The sequence below is a fragment of the Homo sapiens genome, chromosome 17 (assembly GCF_000001405.40).
Source record: "Homo sapiens chromosome 17, GRCh38.p14 Primary Assembly".
In the NCBI taxonomy this organism is placed as follows: domain Eukaryota; kingdom Metazoa; phylum Chordata; class Mammalia; order Primates; family Hominidae; genus Homo; species Homo sapiens.
In genome coordinates, this window is record NC_000017.11 from 28,995,474 (window position 1) to 29,016,925 (window position 21,452).

A 21,452-nucleotide genomic window follows, 5' to 3' on the forward strand; every position below is an offset into this window, starting at 1 on the left:
CCATCTGATTAATCGTCTCCATCCCGCAGGTGGAGAAACAGGGTCTGAGAGCTGACGTGACCTGTGGGAGGTGGTCTAGCTGGGCCTGGGAGGCAGACCCTGGGCATCCTTGTCCTGCTGAGCTCAAGAGACAGACAGAAGGACAGATGCAGGAACAAAAGACTTTGAAAGCAAAGATGGCCTGCGACCAGAGGACTCCCTCCTTGGTCTCTCAGTTCAGACCCCTTGAACTGCCCTACCATACCTTCTCCCAGCTGGTGCCAGTTTCCAGAGCAGCTGCAGCTGGTGGTGGTGGGACCCAGGGTGAAGGCTCAAGGGTGTGGAAGGCAATGAGCTCTAATGGTGGCCTTTTGGCAGAGTTGAGCTGTAGTAGGGGCCTGAAGCCCTGCTGGGGAGTGCAAGGACAGTACTGGAGGTCCCTGGGTGGGCCACCTCCTCCAGGCATGCCTCCCTCCTCTCCACATCCTGACACTTTGAGCTCCTTTCTGCCTCTCCCAGCCTCTGTGTGGGAGACACAGAAGCTCCAGCCTTATTTCCTTTTTTTTTTTGGAGATGGAGTCTCTGTTGCTCAGGCTGGAGTGCAGTGGCGAGATCTCGGCTCACTGCAAGCTCCGCCTCCCGGGTTCACGCCATTCTCCTGCCTCAGCCTCCCGGGTGGCTGGGACTACAGCGGGTGCCTGTAGTCCCAGCCACCACACCCAGCTAATTAGCTCCAGCCTTATTTCCAAATGGCTTAGGGAGGAGTCACTGGAGGCCTGGGCTCTGCCCTTAGGGACTTGGCGAGGTTGTAGAGGCAGAGGGAGGTCATCGTGGGACCTCTCCCATCGGCAGGCAGGAGGAATGAGCTTCTCCTGCCCCAGGGTGTGGGCCCTGAGCCTGTGGGCTATCCCAGGCACCTTTTGCCTGAGGGGAAGGGGCCCCGCCCACCCAGCACTCCAGCCCATGAGGCTGGCCTGGCCCTTCACTTCCCCAGCAAACCTGAGTGGGGGAGGGGAGGGGTGCAGAGCTGCTAAAAATAGCTGCAGAAGCTCCAGCTATGAGTCTCCTTGAGGGGTCAGTGAAGCCCAAGATTGGGGAGGAAGAGACTGGAGTGGGCTGCAGGGAGGGAGAGAGACCAGCCTGGGCTGGGGCCTGGTGTACCTTACACCCAGGCCACAGTCCTAGGATGCAGGGACAGAGGGCACAGACATGCAGGGACATGTGAACACAGACACTCAAGGACAGGTGAACGAGCCAGGCAGAAATGCACGTAGACATGGCTACCAGCACAACTGGGGCTTCCTCTCCCCAGAACCTCAGGAACACCAGATGGGCCCAACTGCACAGCCCCCAGCCTCTCAGGCCTGTCCCTTGTCTCCACCTTGTTTTGACCTCCAAGGACCCTGCAGAGCTGGGTGTGTGGACACCTTGAGTTGACAGGGCTAAGCCCTCCTCCCTTGTCTCTTTCAGTCTCCTGTGTGTGCAGCTTAGGGTAGGGAAGGACCAAGGGTCACCGGAGGCAGCATCAGGGATAGAGTTACAGCACAGACCAGAGTTAGGGCACCAACAAGTGGCTGTCGGCTCAGGAGCATCACTCGACCTGAGCAACAGGCTCTTTCTATCCTGGCTGGCAGGCAGAGGGAGGCATGGGAGAGAAGTGATTGGACCCAGTAGGGCAGGACTGGGGCTCTGCCAGGAGATGCGTGGGAATTGAGGGAAGGGGGCCAAGGGGATCTAGAGAAGTAAATGCATGGATGACCACTCTCGTGCATGCGTTGTTTGATCCCACATTCACACCTTTGCCCGGAGATGCCCCCTTTGCCAGGGGCTCTTTGGTCCACAAAAGTTGACTCCATGTCTTACCTTTCCTCTAACCAGCCAGAAAATAGGGCTTCATGACAAGAGGGGGCCTGCCAGCTGCTGGACCAGACATTTCAAATCACCAGCATATCTCTTTGCTAGACGTAAATGATGCCTAAGACAATGTCCATCAGAGCAGCAAGCCAGGGTGAAGGCCTTAGAAGCACCCTGATCTTGGTCCCTCTGCATTGCTAGTCTCACCTTCTTGGACAGACCCAAACCAGCTGGCGCTCACCCCCACTGCTGCCTCAGCGGTCCAGCTCTGGACTCCTGGGTTGTATGATTCAGCCCCTCCAGAGATGCCTGACAAATCAGCCTCTCCTGGTGATGGACAGTTCTGGCTGTTGGAGGGGCTCCTCTCAAGGGGTCTTGTGGTTTCTTCCCAGTCACCATCCCCCCCACCCCGATTTCCTTTGATCTTCATGCTGTTCTACAAAAGAGGTGGGGCAGGGACAGGCATCATGAATTCTCAAGGAAACTGAGGCTTGGGGTGTGACACAACTTGCCCAAGGTCACACAGCCAGCAAAACCCATCACTGGGTGTCCTGACTCCCTGACCAGCCTTCTTCCTCTTATGTTCTTCCTTTAGGACTCCCCCCTCCTCCTTGAGCACAACTTGGCTCCCCACACTGCCTGATGCCTCCCTGCCCCCACCCCCAGGCTCTGGGACTCCTTAGGCACCTGCTGGCTGGTGGGACCCAGGCCAGACACTCAGCAGGTGGCTGCCTGGGGGACAAAGGAGTTGGCACTCAGCTGCTGAGCTGGGAGGGAGGGAGGGAAGGAGAGAGGAAGGGAGGGAAGGAGAAGCTATGGGGAGGGAGGAGGGATGGGGCTGGAAGTTGAGGGGAGAAGGGTCCGCTTTGGTGTCTTTAACAAGGAGCCATGAGCAAAAAGGGGTAAACCAGCATGCACATGAGCATGGGGGGCGCTCAGTGGTTTAGGCACTTTTCACAGTAACCCCAAGTTCTGTCCTCCCAGACTCATGACCAGTTAGAGGGAGGGGCTTGAGGGTAGAGAGAAGAGCCTGTTGAGAGGGGGGATGGAGAGACTGAGAGAGATGCCAAGGTTGATGCCACAGTATCAAGGTTCTGGCTGGGCCCTGGGGACCCAGGGGTAGGGAGGGATGGCATGAGAAGGAGGGCATTGTGAGGAGAGATTCTGCAGCACATGCGATTTGGTGCTGCAGAATCCAAGCAGCGGGTCTCCCCCTTCTTTCCCCACCACAAATTCATGATGCCTGTCCTTTTTCCAGCTCTTTAATGGAACAGCATCAGGATCAAAGGAAATCAGTGGGGTGGTGACTGGGAAGAAACCAGAAGTCCCCCCTACCCCTTGAGAGGAGGGTCCTCCAATAGCCAGAGCTGTCCAGTGGCAGGAGAGGTCCTGTACCTGCTCTTCAGGGGCACACCTGACCTGCCAGAGATAGGAAGGGTTGTGATGAAGGGCACCCATCATGGATTGGCCCAGGGACCCCAGAGGCTTGCTGGGTCGTCACAGACCCAGAGGCAAACTCTTTTCCTACAAATGAGAAACTGAGGCCTTGAGCGGTCCCTGGCCAGGAGTCTCCTGTCCTTCTGGAGGCCAGAGTAGCTGGATCATATAGGTGCTGTTTGTCATTTCATCTGTATCTCTTTCTATTAAAATCTAACTGGAGAGATAGTCACAACTGAGCTTATTAAAAAGGCAGCTCTCCTCTAAACTGAGTTCCTTAAGGGGAGGGACTATGTTATATTCCTCCCAATCAAAGCACCTGGTAGCTGTTGAATAGAGGGTTGCTGAATGGAGAATGGAAGGATGGATGGATGGAGGATGGACAGGCTAAGTTCTATTGGTGTTTGGGAAACAGAGAGAGCCATCTGGGCTGGGTGATCAGGAAAAGAGGGGATGGGAGAAATGAAATAAGCAGAAGGACCCAGGATGGCCTTCCAGGTATGAAAAAATGGCTGAGCAAAACTGTAGGGGATGAGTGACACAGGGCATGCTCAGGGTCTAGGATTCACCCTAGCATCCTCATGGCATCTTTCCACTGCCCCCCTTCATTCAGTCCCTGCTCATCTCCTGGCAGAGCCCCTTGTTCCAGATGGACCCAGCCAGGACTTCCCACCCTACCCCCTCCCTTCCTGCCAGACTGCCTGCCAGCAAGGCTGCAGGCTCTGCAGCCTGAGACCTGGAGACCCGGATTGTTGTTGGAGAATCGGCAGGTTTGTGGATTGTTGTTGGAGAAGCCGCAGGTTTGTTTGCTCCGGAGCCCGCAGAGAAATCCCAACAATCAATGGCCAACAACACTCTGCCTGTGGCTGCAGCATCCATCCTCCCCCCACAGGTCTGGTGGTTTGGGCAGCAGGTAGGCAGGTGGAAGGAAGCTGGGGCAGGGTTGGGCCTTCCCACCTGGGGGCTGGGCCTCAGTGGAGGCTGAAGGGGAGAGGTAGGGAAGCCCAGGATGCCAGGACAGGAGTGACTGGTCCTCTCATTCACAAAGCCCTCAAAGGACTGAAGAGTAAGAGCCACCCCACATCACTCTGCTCTGGCCCAAGACTTCAGGGACCATAGTTCACCTGACTCCCAGCCCCTTATTCTTTCCTGACCTCCAAATATTGGAAAGGATGTTTTATTCCTTTGCCACTAATGACTGAGAAGCACCTATCATCACCAGAAATGTGCTAGAAGAAAGTGAAGGGCTGTTTATGTCTTGGGTCTGTCTGACAACATGGGTTTCAACTTGATTAATAAAAGGCAGATAATAACTTCTATCTCACAGAGATGATAAGAGAACTAAATGAGCTAATGTATACAAAGCACTTCGTACAGCGCCTGGCACATAGTTGGTACCATATAAATGTTTGCTATTATTGTTGTTGCTATTATTTGGATAGTGATACTCTCCTGGGTTCCCTTCTGCCTGTAGTGAAGCTCTCCCCTATGCCGGGAAAGTGGACATAGTGCTAGCTGAAGCCAGGTTTTGTGAAATGGGCAGACACTTTGGAGTAGCCTTACTACTTACTGGCTGTACAGCCTCAGGGTAAGTGACTTAATCTCATCAAAACTCAGTTTTTCCATGTGTAAAATGGGAACAACTAATATCTTACTGCGAGTACTAAATAGAAAAGTCATGTGAAACGCTTGACCAGTGAAGGCTGGGCCCCTGAGGATTCTGGGCCAGGCCTCACGTCTCAATATATATCTATGGAATGAATGAATGAATGATGGATGGATGGGTAGATATACCCCAGGGCCTGCTCTTTTAGGAGTTGTGGACCTGAATTATTGTGGTTCTGGATGATTCTTAGGCCTCCACCTCTCCATTAAAGGGCATGTAGGCTCAGAGCTGCTCCCAAAGATTCATGTTGGTCCCTGCAAGCTATGTGAGAGTGTCTGAAGCTGGGAGATGGATGAGGGGGCTATGGAGCCAGATGACATGGATTCATCCTTCCCTTACCTCTTAGTGCCAGCCAAGTCCATTCGAGGCATCCCTCTCAGCCATTAGGGGTAGTGGGTGGGTGCTTAGGGTGGCTGTTATAGGGGGGGTGGTCAGGAATCCTGGGCTTTACCTCTGCCAATACCCACCTGTGCAACTCTCATTAATTTATTCAACATGTATTTAATGTCTGCCATGTGCTAGGCTTTGTGTCACTGGGGACACAAGCAGTGGTGGCACTAAGGGGTGACTGGGGAGAGGCTTTAGCCCATTCAGAATGGCCATCAGCACCCTATCCCTGAGCCACCTCAGGCTGATGGCGTGACAGCTTAATTTGTAGAAGGAAAAAACGAAGTAAAGGCTGTAATTTACAGTTGGGATAATTGGCCAACTGTTAGGAAAGGAAAAAAATTCTAACATACAATCTATGTAAAAATAGCATGCTTGCTACGCAAACTCAGCTTCAAGATTCGGTCCCAGCTGCCATAGGCCCGCCTCCCCTTTCTAACCAAGCAGCTGACCCTAAACTTCTCCCAAACAGGAATTCTAGAGCTTCCCCAAGACATAGTGGGTGAACAAAACAGACTTGGGATCATCTTTGTTGAGTTTAGTTTTGCTGCTGGAGCATCAAGCAACCAGGGACTTGTGACCTAGCAAGATGGGGACCTGGATGGGGGAAGCCAAGGGATGGTGAGAGCACAGAAGAGTCCTCTGACCCAGGCTGGAGGACAGGCCTGGCTCCCCTGAGGAACCATGTAGTAGATGCTCCTTAAATAGGTACTGGAGAATTACAGGAAGTGTCAGCTAAGCTAATACTTGAAGCGTGAGGTAGAGTGAGCCAGATTGGTCCGGGAGGGGAAAGGAATTTCAGGCAGAAAGGCTGATAAGAGCCCAAAAGCTGTTGAGAACTTGGTTCATTTGACTTGGCTAATTTGGAAAACTGAAGCTAAAACTCCTTTGGCCTGGCTGGGTGGGTCGGCTTCCTGGAATTGCCACTTCCTGTTGGAATTGGTCTTGGAGACCTCCTAGTGCCTGCTTCCCACCACCCAGCTGCAGACCAGTGCTGGCAGCATAGTCTCCGCCAGAAACCTCTTCTGTATAGAACCTGGCTCCTCCTCCCTGAGAATAGGCCAGTAAGCTGGGGACCCAGAAATCTGCATGACTTGACAAGAACTTTGAGGCTCTCCTGTGCTATAAGGCATGGCAACTTCCATTGAAGGCTCCAGAGAGTGGAGGCCCAGAGAGGACAGGGGTATATGTGAGATCACATGGGAGCCTGGGTTCTTAACCACCTGGATTGAGAAGTTCCTTCACTAATGTAACTCCTGCCTAATAGGCCCTTTTCTGCACCCTCTTTCTTCTTTTTTTTTTTTTTTGGTGGGGGTAGGGGTGGGGTTGGTAGAGTGCTGAGCCATGACAGCTCTGCCCAGGTGGGGGCACAGCATTCCTGAGCTGATCCCAGCCCAGCAGATGGGGCTTAATTGGGCTAGGATAGGTGGGGACAAGGAGCACAGGAAGCTGGAGGGCCTGGAACTGGATGGATGGAGGGGCTAAGGAAGCAGGCTTTCTGATATGCTCCCCATATTTAGGCAGGCATGGTAGTACTGGTGGGGAATGGAAGCTCAGTTTCTAATTAAGCCCAGCCCTTGTGTCTCCTTGCTCTCCATTAGTGCCCCACAGTGTCCCCAAGGCATTTTAAGCGGCCACCCTGCTGAGGAGGCCAGGATGGCCGCCAGGGCCTGCCAAGCTTAGACCTATGAGGAGCAAAAAGCCAACTCAGGCTTCTCCTGTCCATGGCAGTCTCTGGGTCCTCCAGCCTCCTTGGAAGCCCGGGGCTGGTGGGTGGGGGTGTGCTCCTGCCTGCCATGTCAACCTCTGGGTTTCTGAACAGAATCTGGACTGTCTCCCATGGGGCCTTGTCCCCAGTACCACTTCCTGATCCCGAAGTGCCAGGCTGGGGACAAGGAACAGGACCTAGTATTGGTTTCAGCAGCAGCCCCCAGACTCATGGATGTGCTGTTAGAATCCAGCACCTACCAAGGAGTCTGCAGGAAGCAGCAATTACCATTTTAGGTTAAGGCAGCCCTCGTTTGTTAACCCTTGCAGCACTAGGGCTCCTGGAAGCTGAGTCGTCCTTCCTCTCTTTTCTCCTCCAGACCTTCCCTTCCAGACATCATCCCTCAGTTCTTGGCAGAGTGAGTAACCCAGACTAGCCATCCCCAGGCCCCCTCTATCACCACATTCTCAAGTGGAGCTCAGAGAGGTGGAGCAGCAGGTCCAAGGTCACACAGCCATGGAGGCAGCCTCCATTCCTGAGACCCAACCTTACCCCAGTCTCAGCGGCTTCCACCTTCATAATCTCCCTAGGCCACATTCACACATGCAGAGTTTAATTAACTTTATTGATATTCAGAAATTAGGAGAATGACTAAAGGTAATTGCTCATTAAAAATCATTAAACTGACACAGCAGGCTCGGCACACGCAGCCCCTTCAACACCGCTTTTTCCTCCACTGTGGCTGGATGGCCCAGGCACCCCACACAGCTTGGGAAGATACCCCGTGGCCCAAGACGCCCCTGATGCCTGACGCCAATCAAGACTTGGAGGCTGCAGAAGGGAATAGGGGACTGAGCCTGTGAGCTTGGGCCAAGCCCAGCACGATTTTGCCCTACCTCCGCAGCCTCGGCATACCAGGCCTTCCAAGGCATCTGGGCCGTGCCTGGCTACATCCTGCAGTCTGCATCCTGCCTATGAGCAAAGCTCTGAGGGCCTCATCAGAGAGGTGGCGGGGCTGAAAGGCTGAGGGATGCACCCCTCGGGCCGAAAAGGCTCATAGCCTGAGGTCTTTGCTCCTTTAGGCTCGCCTTCACAAAGCTAAAGTGCCCAGGAACCCCGGGATGGCCAAATGCGCTGCTCCCCACTGAGATGACTCACTATCCCAATGGTTGGGACCTCCAGTCCAGCCGAGGAGAGAGGAGCCTCTGGCTACCCAGCTCTGACATCCCAGCCCTCTCATCCTCAGGCTTGGCACTTCGGGGCTGCCTCTTCGTCTCCCTTGGGGAGTGAAAATAGAGGTCTTTCCCAACAGCCAGACTCCTACCCCACATATCCCACTGGCAGGTGCCTCCATGGGCACTGGAGATCCTGATAGTCAGGAAGGGACACTGCCCAGGGACACACAGACTTGAGGCCACAGAGTGAGCAGATTCCTCCTAACACTCACACCCACATCCCCATCAGGGCTGGTGGGACTCCTGGCCACACCAGCCTTCCTCCTGGATTCCCACAGTCTCACTCTAGCCCTGCAGGGAGCTCTCTGGCTGAGGCTGCACCCACACACTAGTGGCCTCACACAGTCCTCACACCCATTCACTGCTGACCCCTCACCCAAGATTCGGACCACTTGAAGTGCAGACACACTGGGACTGGCTCCTCTAGTCATGCAGGGCCCTGATTACTCTCACATTCAGACCCACAAACTCACACACAAGGCCTTGACTAACTGCCAGGGGACAGACACAGGCCCTGCGCCCCAGGGGAGCTGTCCAGCGCCAGGACCCATCAGGACCCAAGATAGGTTCGGAATTCCTAGGGACATCCCCAGGCAGCTAGGCAGGGATTCACACTTCTCCTTCCCGGTCTTCATCCCTGGGGTGGGTCTTGCAGGACTCTTCCCCTCTCCCCAGAACGTGAGCACACGGTTTCAAGTTCTGGGCGCTGCCGGAGGATCCAGCATGGGCAGCCCGGTAGCGGGGTGAGGACACTGGGCTGTGTGCAAGTGGAGCTAGAGGCTCAGAAAAAGGCTTCTGCGTCTCCGGGGCCACAGTTTTTCTTCCTGGATGAAGAAAACTGCCGTCCGGGGGCCCAGCCTGTCCCTGGCCGCGCTGCCTTGACCTCGGCAGCGGCCTGGAAAGATCGAGCAGGGAGGTTAGAAACTCCCACCCTCACACTTCACATCAGGCCCTTCAAACCATATGGCAAGGGATGGCAGGTCTCAACTCCAAGTGCGGTTCTGCCGACCCTACCAGCCTACTGCAGCGGGAGAAGGACGTGGGTGCCAGTAGCTTCCATGAGAGCTTGTTTGAGCCAGGACGGCAGGTCCAGACAAGACTCTTCCCCGAGGCACGGAACCCCTATCCTCTCCCCAACACTCCCTTGCCGCTCACACCATGGCCAAGCTTCCCTCTACCCAAGACCGACGAAGTTGGGGACCAGACTCCTAGAGGGGGCGCGGGGATTCTCAGGGTGTGGGGAACAGGTCCTCCAGAGACAAATCTGCCTTGCAGGTGGGGAGTGGACCAGGGCCGGGCAGGAAGGCAGGCCGGGAGGGAGGCAGAGCTCGGGGCAGTGGTGTGTGTGTGTGTGTGTGTGTGTGTGTGTGTGTGTGTGTACAAGGAAAGGACTTTGGGGAGGACAGAGTCTCTATCCCAGGATCTCCGCTGCTGCAGCCGAGGGCAGAGCCAGGAGCCAGATAGGGGGTCCAGGCCCTTGGAGTTTCTCTCTAGAATTGTGCTCTAGGTCCCGACTCTGGCGTGGCAGCGCCAGGGCATGGGGAGGTGAGCGAGGTCCCAACCCCGGGTCCGGCCGCCATCCGGCCCCGTCTCCCCTCAGTAAGAACACTAGAGGCCCTGGAACCGGCGGCAAAGTCGAGCGAAGTTTGGCGGGCGGCAGGGGAAGCGGGACCACGGGCCGCCAGCTGGACCGTCCCGACTCACTGCCTTGCGCCCCCCGGCACGCGCCCCAGCACCCTGAGATGCCTAGAGTGTGGCGAGGTAGCGCGCGGGTGAGCGCGTGTGTGCGGGGAGTGGGTGGCGTGATGAATTGCATCAGAGAAATCCCATTAGATCTGGGGAGATGATTAAAGACGAGGTCTCGGCCGGGCGCGAATGGCGGGAGCCGCGGCAGCTTCCCGCCCGCGAAGCCCGCGCCCCGCCCGGCTTGGCCGGCGCCGGGGGCAGCGCAGCCGGCGGGGCGCGGTGCTTGGACTGGGCAGCCAGATGCCCGAAGCTGGGCACCGGGTCTCCCTTCCCACCCCTGGGGCCCCGCTCCCGCCCCCGTCCTGCCGCCGGATGCCGGGGTCCCTTACCGTGAGCCAGGAGCGCCAGCAGCGAGGGCAGGAGCAGCAGGGCTACCGGGCGCATGGTGCTGGTTGCGGCCGCGCCCTGGGCTGGGACCGCGGCGGGAGGGCGGGGGGCTTGGTGGGGCTTGGGCGCGGGGGCAGAGCCGGGTCCGGCCGGGTAGAGGGAGCGGGGCCGCAGCCGTCACCGCCGCTGCCGCCGCCAGCGCCTGACAGAATCAGCACCACGGCCAGCGCCTGGCGACGGCGCCGGGGATCGCCGAGCGGGGCTGGGGGCGGGGGCGCGGGAGGAGCGGCTTACCGTAAAGTCTCATGCAAAGGCGCAGAGACCCAGGGGCAGGAGCCCAGGCTCCCGCTCCACCGCGACTGCCCTACTCATGTGGGCACACGGCCCCTGCCCTTCTGCGCTGCCCACCCCCAGCCAAGCATGCCACCCTCTTTCCCGTTAACGGCCTGCTAAGGAACCTCAATTAATAGCTCACTGTAGCCTTCTGATTCTCCATGAGAAAGAGCAACACTTTCCCCACCCCTCTCCACCCAATCCTGGTACCTGAGGGCGTCAAGGGTGACCTGGGAAGACATCCGAGAGTGAGGCAGCTGGTGAGGCCCGCGTGCCCTTGTGGCAGTTCCGTCTTGGGACGATAATGAAGATGGCTTTTGAGCGTACAAAGGATAATAAATTATTACTTTGCGCTCAATAAATGCCAGGGCTCCAGGCAGCTGCATCAGCAGCAAACTGTGCTCACAGAAAAGCTTAATTATCCTGATATTATAGTTAAAAGCCAGTGGCACTCGCATCCTGGGGAGACATTCTTCACTTGGCAGGAGGCAACCTGGGCCAAGCTGTGGGCAGCTGAAGGTAGTATCCTGGGTCCCCACGTAGCCCTGGGTCTCCAGGACTCTGCCTTGGCCCCTCTGCAGGACCAGAGAAGCCACAGTGACAGTCGATACAGACCCTTCATGCCATCTCTGCCCAGGTTTCTGGAATTGGTGGAGAAAATGGCATAGGCATGAGAGAGGGTTTCCTAGAGCTGTTATTTTATTTTATTTTATTATTGTTTTTAGAGACAGGGTCTCTGTTGCTTAGGCTGGAAATGCAGTGGCACAATTATATTAATAGCTCACCCAAACTCCTGGGCTCAAGAGATCCTCCCACTTCAGCCTCTCAAGTAGCTAGAACTACAGGCATGCACCCCCAAGCCTGGCTAATTTTTAAATTTTTTGCAGAGATAAGGTCTCATTATGTTGCCCAAACTGGTCTTGAAATCCTGGCCTCAAGAGATCCTCCCGCCTTGGCCTCCCAAAGTGCTGGGATTACAGGCATGAGCCACTGTGCCCTACGGCTGTTTTAGATAGAGACTTGAAGGAGGCCCAGGGGTGTAGCCTGTACTATTAAAGGCATGGAAAAATAACTTTCCAGGGCCCTGCTTGGGCTGAGGAGCCCCAGTGAGTCACAGGACAGCAAGGGGGCAGTCACAGCTGTGCCATCCTGAGGCTGCTCTTTAAAGGCAGGGGCTCATGGATGGGCTCACTTGAAGAGCTTTAATGGGTACAATGGGACAGGATCCTATGGCTGATGTTATTATTCCCTGTAGAGGAATAGGAGGGCTGAACTCCCTATTGCCCCTGGGAGAAGGGCAGTTTTTTGTTTAGTTTCTTTTTACATGAACTTGGTTGCTCTCCAAAGCTTCCAGACTCCAGTCATTGTCCAGTGTCCTTCCTGACCCTCATCCTGGAAGCAGGTGGTGAAATTTCTGCTCAAGTTCCTTAGAGAGTGTTTTGGTCCTCTTGACCAGAGTCTCCCAACTCTGCTGGTTGGATTCTCTCCAGACCCTCTTCTTGTGGGCTCTGGGGAGCTGTGATGACTGCTGTAAAGAGTCCCAGGCAGCAGGCAGATGGCGTGTGGAATTAGGAAGACGCTGGGATTTCTGGACAGTTGTTTTGAGAAGCTGAGGAAAAAGAGGGCAGCAGCAGAAGGATGGCAGGAAGAAGGAGGAGCTGATGCAAGAATCAGGGGTGAGGAGAGGAAGCCAGGAAAGAAGGTGCAAGAGGGGAGGCAGAAAGAGAGTTGCCAACAGAGGAAGGGAAGAGACACAGAGGTAGAAGGTTGTGTGACCGGGGGAAGTTTAGGAAAATGCTGGCAAATGTCATGAGATTCCTCTTTTCCTCCTTGAAAGTATTCCTGGGCTCCTCTAGTATTCCTGGTCCCTCATGGCTAGGCAGCTTGGGCAAGGGGAGTGAGTCATGACCTAGGGATGAATCTTGTATTGCCAGGATGATTCATGGGGATTTGGAGGTTGGTGGCAGGCTTGTCTGACTCTCTTAGCAACAGGGCTCCTTGATGGGCTGGGCACTATGCACATAAAGGAGGGGGAGAGAAGCCATCCTGGAACTTGTCACATCACCTTCCCTATGGCCTGAACTAACCTAGAGGGTCCAATGGAGACTACAAGTCCCAGAATACAGTACTGTACCCTGAGCTCAGAAGATGGGCTTGTACTGCATGATGGGCATGACAATGCACCGGGGCTGTCCCTCCCTCCTAAAGGCAGTTAACATAGCCTTTATGCAGTGGGTTCCTAGGCAGGTTGAGGCAGAGCCTGGGCCAAACTGGGAAACAGCAGAGCTTCTGTCAGGTGCCCTCTATCATGCCCTCCAAGGGGCTCGTCCTAACCAGACCTTGATATTACCTACAAATTGAGAACAATAAAATGCCCAAGGGGACAATCAGCTGTATACAGGGCTGGCAGGCTTATAGTCTACTCAATTCATAGGCACCTTTGAAAGTGGCAGTCTGGGTGGACTTGCAAGGCTCCCCTCACTGCTCTCACTTCTGTTCTCTGCATCCCCCACCTGGCTTTTTGCTCCCAGAGAACCCTGGGCTTCCCCTGTCTGTGTAATTGCTTGCTTAATTGTCTGTCTGCTCTACTAGTTGTTGACTTTGCGAAGGCACAGACCGTGTCTGTCTCATCTACCCACAATCTAGCTCAGTGGCTGGCACATAGTAGATGTTCAATAAATATTTGTGAATAAACAACAGGGATGAGGAGTGTCTAAAGCCCAAGGCCGGTCATTGGTGTCAAATGAGTGCTGTGAGATAATGAAGAAAAGGGCAATTGTTTCTTTTGGGGATGAGGCAAGGTCAGTGAAATCTTCACACAATGGATGGGTGAAACCAAGTTGAATATGTTTTTAAAAATTAATTAATTAATTTTTGAGACAGGTTCTTACTCTGTCACCCAGGCTGGGATGCAGTGGTGTGATCAGGGCTCACTGCAGCCTTGACTTCCTGGGCTGAAGTGATTCTCCCATCTCAGCCTCCTGAATAACTGGGACCACAGGCATGAGCCAGCATGCCCAGCTAATTTTTTACTTTTTTGTAGAGATGAGGTCTCTGTATGTAGTCCAGGCTGGTCTCAAATTCCTGGGCTCAAGTGATCCTCCCACCTTGGCCTCCCAAAGGACTGAGATTACAGGCATGAACCACTGCCCCTAGCCCAAATAAGTCTTATGATTCAATGGAGAGGGAGAGGGAAGACATTCAAAGTTGGGGGGTGTAGTTTATGCACAGCGTTGGAAAATGCAAGCTAGTCTGGGTCAGTGAGAAGACTGGTTCTGCTGGAGCAGAGTCCCTGCTGGGAAGTAGGAGAAAGGGCTAGAGTAGGCTGGGGCCTAGCTGTGAATGGCTTGGTGGTCACCTGAGCTGAAGGACATCCTTGGTGGCTATACTGAAGGGATTACCCCATCACGAAGATATTTGCACTGAAACAGAGCAATCTGGCATCATTAAGGTATGTTTTCAAGCACTGTGGCAAGTGGTAGGAACTGTGGGGTTCACTGCTGACTCCGAAGCCAGGGGGTGGGGTGTGTGTCTGAGCTACAGTGACTGAATTAGGTTTGAGAGACCAGAGAGAGGGAAGAAGGGGCTCTTCAATCCCAGACACCCCAACCCCTGCCCAGACAAAGCCAGACATACATAGAGCCCCCATCCATCCATTGAAGCTGGAGAAGCCAGCTTTACTTCCCCAGTTCCAAACAGCCCATCAATCTGTAGGATCACAGGCACATTGGTGACTTATTTTGAAGTCTCTGCTGAGATGACACTTGCTTTCTGCACGAGAGGAGGAGAAAATTACTCTCTTCTAAGACAGCTTTCAAACCAGAGCTATATCTTTTGTGGAGCCAAAGGGGTTTTGGTGTTTCAGGGAGGCAAGGGCAGGGGCTGCCACCTCACTCCAGAGGCTCCCAGGGGTTCAGAGCTGCCTGCTTACCTCAACCCACTTCATGGAGCAGGATTCCAGACCTTGCAGCTCCTGGAACAGTCAGGGATGCCAGTGCTCCAGCCAGGGCTCCCTGCATTACCCAAAGTCAACCCATTGAATTTAGGGGCAGGAGGAGGGCCCTGCTCTGATAAATGGAGAGTCCTGGCTCCAGGCATTTGCTCTTGCTCCAGGATTGACTGCAGGAAGAGCTCAGGGTAGATGGAGACAGCAGCAGAAAGTGGTTTGATGTGAGCTACTTTCCATCTCCAAACAGAGGCCTCCAGCCTGCCCACCACCCCCAGCCGAGGCCTTTGATCCTCCACAGCTCCATAAATGTTTAATGCCACCGGCTGGGCAGGAATGAGGCAGGTGCTGAAACAGGGAGACTGGGGATAGGACTTAAGACGTACAATGTTGGCTAGATTATTTTCACATAGGAGCTCTGGGATGGATGGGAGGAGGCTTTCCCCCATCATGTGGCAGGAGAAGTCCCAGGGTTCAAATTTGGGGCACTAATAAAGAAAACTCTTTGAAAACTACCAAGGGGATGAAAATAAATGAATAATCAATTGCAAAAGCCCAATCTCTGGTTTGATTGAAGGAGAAAGATGGAAAGTTAAATGACAATCAAATGCAAATACAGCTCAACAAACACCACAGCAATTACCAGGCGCAGGAACCACATGGTGCTTGCAGGCAGCGGGGGTTGGCAATTTGGAAGCCTGAGCCTGTGCAGAGGTGACGGGCGAGGGGCCATTTTAATGGACGGTTAAATAGATGCAAAAAAACCCTGCATCTACTTTGCATACACTGCTGATGAGTGGGGTGCTGGAATTCTGGCATCCAGAGGGAGGTTGTTCTACCTTCCGTGGCTGCCTCTGTATCATTTCAGGAGGCCCTGAGTACCTGCGGTGGGGTGAGGCCAGAGTGAGCTCCAGCTCAGATGATCAGGGAGAAGGCTGCACCAGTCTCATTGGATTCTTCACACCAGCTGGTGCTGAAGGTTCAGGGGTTGAAGTTGAAAGAAGCCCGTGGGGTCCTCCATAAAGGACTCAAGGTGCTGGCCTTCCAACAGCCTGGTAAGAGTGGCTTTCTCCTCTAGATTTGCATAATGCTTTGCATCTCATTTGAATACTATTAATTTGGTGTCAGGCTAGGTTGGCATGGTGTAGGAAAGAGAACAGCTGGCCTTCTCCATCCCCTCTGTACCACAGAGCTTATTCTAAGCATAGCCTTCTGCAACTGGGGGGCATGAGGCCTCCACTTTCACCATCCCCTTCATGTTCCCTGACACTTAGTCTCTTAGTGAAGCCAGCTCCTAAAAGCCAAGGCTGCCTGGCATTGTGGCCACCTGCAGGGTTATGCTGAAGGAAGAAGAAAGGGTCCCCCAAGGTCACTCTCACCAGACCCAGAGACACCATGGGAGGATGCTGGGGGCCTTTGTCATCCCAAGCAATCAAGGCAGCTTGGCTTGGAAAGGGTCCAAAGATAATAACCAAGAGAGGGAGGGAACAAAGACAGGCGATAATCCCAGAGAAATATAGAGGGCTCTAGAAATAAAATCCTCTGAACTCAATATTTCTAGTGCTTGAACTTACATAAAATACATCTGTCCAGAGGCATTGGGTTTATGGTGCTGCTCTGGGGCTGGGAACCTGGTACCAGGTTGATGGCCATGTGATGAGAGAGTGAGTCACCAGGTGGGGTGAGTTCCTGAGAAAGAGGGAAGAGGCCCCGGGTGCATCCTGTGGGCTGCCCCTGGCAGGTGGGCATCGGGAGGCTACAGGGAGATGCGGATGAGTTATTTAATTGAAGAGGAAGAGAAGTGCATTCCATGCAGAGGGAACAGCATGTACATCGGTAGGCAGGACTAAGAGATGGTTAGTGTAGCTGGATGGCAGCAAACAAGAGTTGTGGTGTGGGATGTAGCTGGAGAGCTGGGGTGTAGCAAAGCTTAGTGGCTGGTATGAAATCTCTAGGAGTCCTACCTGCCCATCCATCTGTCCATTTATTCGTTCGTCCTTCACCCTACTACCTCCCAATTCATTCATCACCCACTCATTCATTTACTGAATGAGTGAGCACTTATTGAGCACTGTGTGTATGCCAGGACCTGAACTAGCTACTGGAGAGGGAGAGCCCTCAAGGAGCACCCAGACTGGGGAGGGGAAACAGCCCCAACACCCTGTAAGACAGCATGTTTATCTCCACAAGGTACTTAAACAAGGCTCTGGAAGCCCTAGAGGCCAAGTCTCCCATGCTTCAAGCTTCCCAAGGCAAGGGTCCTTCATTACCTCCGGGGAGATCTTCCATTCACACAGATCCTCCTGGCATCTAATACTATTCCTTCCTGCTACAAAAGCAGCCCGCTTCTTATAGCCCCAGAGTGGCAGGGAGTGTTTCTGATGTTCCTTCTCATTGACCCTTTATTTGGGCCTTAGAGACATCACAGTCTCAGGAGAACCCAGGGGAAGTGATATGAGAACATGGTCAAGTCTCCCTTAGACATCAGAACCCAGGCTTAGATACACTTCTAGCCACTTCCTTTTCTGGGCATGAAAATAGGACAGAAATTCCCAATGTCCCTTAATTCAGCATATTCCCTCCCCCACTCCTCCTTGAACTACTTGTCCTCTATTTGTGACATCACAATGGTCTCTATGGCAACTGATTGTGAGGTCACCAGTCCTTAAAGCAACAGAATATGTGGGTCCAGACAATGGCCTGCAAGAGAAAGGAAGAATACAAAATGGAAGCCTGGGATAGAGATCATCTCCTAGGAAAGGGGGAGGCCACCCAAGGCCTGTCAGGGGGAGGGCTCCACTTCTCAGCCCATCTGCAGTAGGTCCACATTCGGGGTAGGCAAGAGCAAGGCCTGCTGGAAAGGGAAACTGCTCATCAAGAAACTGAGGGAGGCTGGGCACGGTGGTTCATGCCTGTAATCCCAGCACTCTGGAAGTCCAAGGTGGGTGGATCACCTGAGGTCAGGAGTTCGAGACCAGCCTGGCCAACATGGCAAAACCCTGTCTCTACTAAAAATACAAAAATTAGCCGGGTGTGGTAGTGCACGCCTATAGTCTCAGCTACTCAGGAGGCTGAGGCAGGATAATCGCTTGAACCTGAGAGGCGGAGGTTGTGGTGAGCCAAGATCGTGCCACTGTACTCCAGCCTGGGTGAAAGAGCAAGACTCTCTCAAAAAAAAAAAAAAAAAAAAGGAGAAGTGGAGGATTGAGGGTCATCCTGAGCATTGGCTGGACCTCAGAGGCAGGCCTGAGTTCAAATCATCCCAACCTAATGTTTGCCTTGGGCAAGTTTTGGAACCTCCATTTCTTTACCTATGAAAGGAAAATGATGCCACTTGCCTTTCAGAAAAGTATTCAGTGAGATAACCTGTTGGAGAGCCTGGCACATAGTAGGTGCTTGTTTCTATCTACTTGTACTTGTTTCTATTTCTTTTTCTACCCCCTCAGCCCTTATGCCTAGGATCTTGCATATTATATGTGCCTTATTAATGCTTGCAATTGTAAGTGCACTGTAAGTGCAGGATGAGGGCTACAGGGCAATGTTTAGAGCAGGGGAAGTCAATGGACCTGGATTCAAATCCTCGCTCTGCTATTTGCTAGCTGTAAGCCTTTGAGCAAATCACCTTTGAGCAAATCACCTTTCTGTTTCTTGGTTTCCTTAACTGTGAAATGGGAGATAGCAATACTGTTGTCTTCATAGGGTTGATTAGGACTAAATGAGACCCTGCAAATAAATAGCAGAGCTTGGCACATGAGGTGCATGGTACTTAAACTTGAGTGAGGCTGTTTCTGCATGCGCTGCACAGTTTGTGTTCACTGTCAGTTTTCAGGAAATGTGAATTAATCTGTGGGGTGTCCAGAACCGGAGAGTGGGTGAACCTCAAGACAGGGCCATAGGATGGCAGTCTCTCCCCGAAAGGGGTGACCGCTCACTTTCTGGATTCCCTCTAGTGCGGACACCCAGCTCATACCAGTCACAGGGGCTGGGTGCTCCTTGAAGTCAGAGTGAACTCATCTATGAAGCCCAGACCAGGGCCTGACACATGGCACAGGCTCAGCAACAGTTAAGGTAAACTGAGTTAGAGGATATCTTAATAATATACTGGCTAACATATATTCTGTGCATATTCTGTGCCAGGCTCTGGTCTAAGCACTTTACATTTTGATCCTCACAACAACCTATGAGCTAGATATTATCCATTTTTAAAATGTGGGAACAGAGAGGCTAAGTAATTTGCCCAAAGTCACACAACTAGTAAGCAATGACGAAGCTCGGATTTGAACCCAGGCTACCTGGCTCTAGAACCTATGTTCTTAACTACCACATTACCCGCAGCCCCATGGGCTGGGTCCATCCATTTTACTATATCTGCCACCACGAATTTCCTCCCCCAGCTCTCTCACTTGCCCCTCTCTTCTCCCAGCTGAGCCCAGGCCCAGTGCAACTCAAAGAATGGAAATTCTCTTCCACTAGCCTCAGCAATCTGCCTCCCCCTTTGTTGAAATAAAGCCACTGCCACAGCCAAAGCCACCACCGGATCTCTTGCTTATTTCAAGTCCTCCTAAAGCTTGTTGAGTTCTTAACTTATTAAAGATAAGCACATGGAAATAGGGAGCAAATCTCTTTATTTATGACATAATCTCCAGCCCAGAAAAGCGGCAGGAACGGTGTTGCCTATATTAGGGAACCAATAGGAAAAAAATCAATTAGATCCGCCAGACCGTTTCGCTATTAACTTTCTTCTGATGTTTCTCTTAAGGCTGGCCATGGGGGTCTCCACCAGCAGCTGAGGTGGAGAGAGAGGAGAGCTTTGTAGGAACAGAGAAAGGAATGTCACAAGGAAGGCAGCTGACCAGGCTTCCAGACAGACAGGGGAATCTTTTCATCATGGTCTCCTTCACTGCTTTCCAAATCTCATTTAACCTCCATGTTTCTTGCTGCAATTTCAGTTGGTGTCTTTAGGGGCAGGGGAGTCAATTGGTCACTGTTGGCTTCTTGCAGACTTGAACCCCAAGTCTGACCACATTTTTGCAAGACCCATCGGGAGAAGGATCCTCCCCTTTCTGAAAGAACAATATTCTGGAGGGGCTCTTCTTGACTGATGTTTAGTAGGCTCTTCTGCTGGATAATTATGCCTCAAACAACCCCAAGCAGCTACCGCATGAGGTCTTCACATCCATCTGCCTGCCTCCAGGAGCACTTTCTAAGCTATCTCCCAGAGATAGGGCTCACCCTTATTCCTGAGAGCCTCCGGTGAGGAGGGTGCCCTAGCTCCCATAGTAACCCCAGAATTAGTCTCCTTAAAGGCTGGGGATCATGGCTTGTTCAATAGTTTTTCTTCAGGTTCGGGCATATAGAAGGGGCTCAATAAATAGTCACAGAATCAATAACTATTACAAAAGCCCCATTGATGGAATGCTCGCTCCGTACCAAGGCTGAGAAGGGTGATCTGTCACCCAAAGTAGGACCCCTTTGTTGCTCCCTGAACCAACAACCCAGAAGAGCCTGCCAGTTTTGTAGTTTTGTTTTTCCTTTTCTTGCTATTTGGCCAGGAGCAGCAGTAGCAGCAGCTCCAAGAAGTAAGTATTATTATTATTATTATTATTATTATTATTATTTGAGACAGGATCTCACTCTGTTATCCAGGCTGGAGTATAGTGGCACAATCATGGCTCACTGTAGCCTCAACCTCCCCATGCTCAGGTGATCCTCCCATCTCAGCCTCCCAAGTAGCTGGGACTATAGGCATGCACCACCACACCCAGCTGATATTTGTATTTTTTTGTTGTTGTTGAGATGGAGTCTCGCTCTTTTGCCCAGGCCGGACTGCAGTGGCGCTGTCTCGGCTCACTGCAAGCTCTGCCTCCCGGGTTCATGCCATTCTCCTGCCTCAGCCTCCTGAGTAGCTGGGACTACAGGCGCCCGCCACCGCACCCTGCTAATTTTTTGTATTTTTAGTAGAGATGGGGTTTCACCATGTTAGCCAAGATGGTCTCGATCTCCTGACCTCGTGATTCGCCCGCCTCGGCCTCCCAAAGTGCTGGGATTATAGGTGTGAGCCACCGCGCCCGGCCTATATTTGTATTTTTTGTAGAGATGGGGTTTCACCATGTTGGCCAGGCAGAGGAGGAAGCTGAGTCAAGGAGGAGCAGTAACTTGTCCAGGCTAATAAGTGAATTAGATATTCTATGTCCATCCACTGTTGGTCATTAGGAAGTTCTTCTTAAGGTCTAACCTAAACCTTTTCTGTTTCAGCAGCACTGGCTCCTTCTTAGTCCCATGGAAGCACAGATCAACATCATTGCCCTTGCAAACTTCTCTCAGCTTAGGAGAGTCTACTCGCTCTTTGCACATTGTTGACATGAAATGAATATTAAACACCAAACCTCATAGAGGCCAGCCCTGCTGGGCGAGCAATGAACCAACCCTCCTCATGCCTGTTCATTATTATAATTAACATTGAGCCGAGGTTGGTGGTGACCTCGCCCTCGCCAGGTATTTGGGCTGTTTTAGCAGCTTATTCAGATCAGTGACAGACAGCTCTGAATAGATAAACTCCCCGCCATCCAGACGAATCAATTGCAACACTGCCGTCACAACAAGCCCAATAAATCAATCTGATTTCAGGCGACATGGTAACTCAGTGCTGGGCAAGCTGGTTTTAATTTCCGCGTGGCTGAGACCCAGCTTCCTCTACTCACTGGAGCACCCCTCTTTCCCAGCTGATGCTCTGTGCACACAGGTGCCCAGGGCCCTCAGAGGACTCAGGCCAAGGGGGCAGCTACAGGGAGGACAGGGTAACCAGGAAGCTATGTTACTTTGAGGAAGACTCTT

General features: G+C 52.9%; 1 protein-coding gene and 1 long non-coding RNA gene across 7 annotated transcripts in view, besides 4 other annotated features; one reads left to right on the forward strand and one right to left on the reverse strand.

The window, feature by feature from the left end:
• Window positions 1–10,967, reverse strand: part of SEZ6 (seizure related 6 homolog) — a 51,536-nt gene extending 40,569 nt beyond the window's left edge. For 4 of the 5 annotated variants that reach the window (XM_011524315.3, XM_011524317.4, NM_001098635.2 and 1 more), the window contains exon 1: window positions 10,342–10,560. In XM_011524315.3, the coding sequence (XP_011522617.1) occupies window positions 10,342–10,396 (55 nt within the window). In that variant the 5' untranslated portion in view covers window positions 10,397–10,560. Of the gene's footprint in view, window positions 1–10,341; window positions 10,561–10,882 lie in introns of those variants that run through there. The other variant, NM_001290202.2, reaches the window with a different exon arrangement.
• The window catches only part of LOC105371716 (uncharacterized), a 64,911-nt gene extending 43,872 nt beyond the window's left edge, over window positions 1–21,039 (forward strand). Inside the window, exons 3-5 of one of the 2 annotated variants that reach the window (XR_001752822.2) lie at window positions 15,487–17,559; window positions 19,378–20,197; window positions 20,874–21,039. This is a non-coding gene — a long non-coding RNA (uncharacterized LOC105371716). Of the gene's footprint in view, window positions 1–29; window positions 520–15,486; window positions 17,560–19,377; window positions 20,198–20,873 lie in introns of those variants that run through there. The other variant, XR_007065691.1, reaches the window with a different exon arrangement.
• Window positions 2,514–3,013: an enhancer, noted in NCBI's record as "H3K4me1 hESC enhancer chr17:27325005-27325504 (GRCh37/hg19 assembly coordinates)". NCBI's record gives its function as "activates a minimal SCP1, AML or CMV promoter by ChIP-STARR-seq in naive H9 embryonic stem cells {active_cell/tissue: H9 hESC(naive)}" and the evidence as "EXISTENCE:reporter gene assay evidence [ECO:0000049][PMID:30033119]".
• Window positions 7,721–8,347: an enhancer, noted in NCBI's record as "H3K27ac-H3K4me1 hESC enhancer chr17:27330212-27330838 (GRCh37/hg19 assembly coordinates)". NCBI's record gives its function as "activates a minimal SCP1, AML or CMV promoter by ChIP-STARR-seq in naive H9 embryonic stem cells {active_cell/tissue: H9 hESC(naive)}" and the evidence as "EXISTENCE:reporter gene assay evidence [ECO:0000049][PMID:30033119]".
• Window positions 8,348–8,972: an enhancer, noted in NCBI's record as "H3K27ac-H3K4me1 hESC enhancer chr17:27330839-27331463 (GRCh37/hg19 assembly coordinates)". NCBI's record gives its function as "activates a minimal SCP1, AML or CMV promoter by ChIP-STARR-seq in naive and primed H9 embryonic stem cells {active_cell/tissue: H9 hESC(naive and primed)}" and the evidence as "EXISTENCE:reporter gene assay evidence [ECO:0000049][PMID:30033119]".
• Window positions 10,323–10,506: a silencer, noted in NCBI's record as "fragment chr17:27332814-27332997 (GRCh37/hg19 assembly coordinates)". NCBI's record gives its function as "represses an EF-1alpha promoter that drives an FKBP-Casp9 reporter gene in an ReSE screen in K562 erythroleukemia cells {active_cell/tissue: K562}" and the evidence as "EXISTENCE:reporter gene assay evidence [ECO:0000049][PMID:32094911]".
• Window positions 21,040–21,452: the final 413 nt, after the last annotated feature.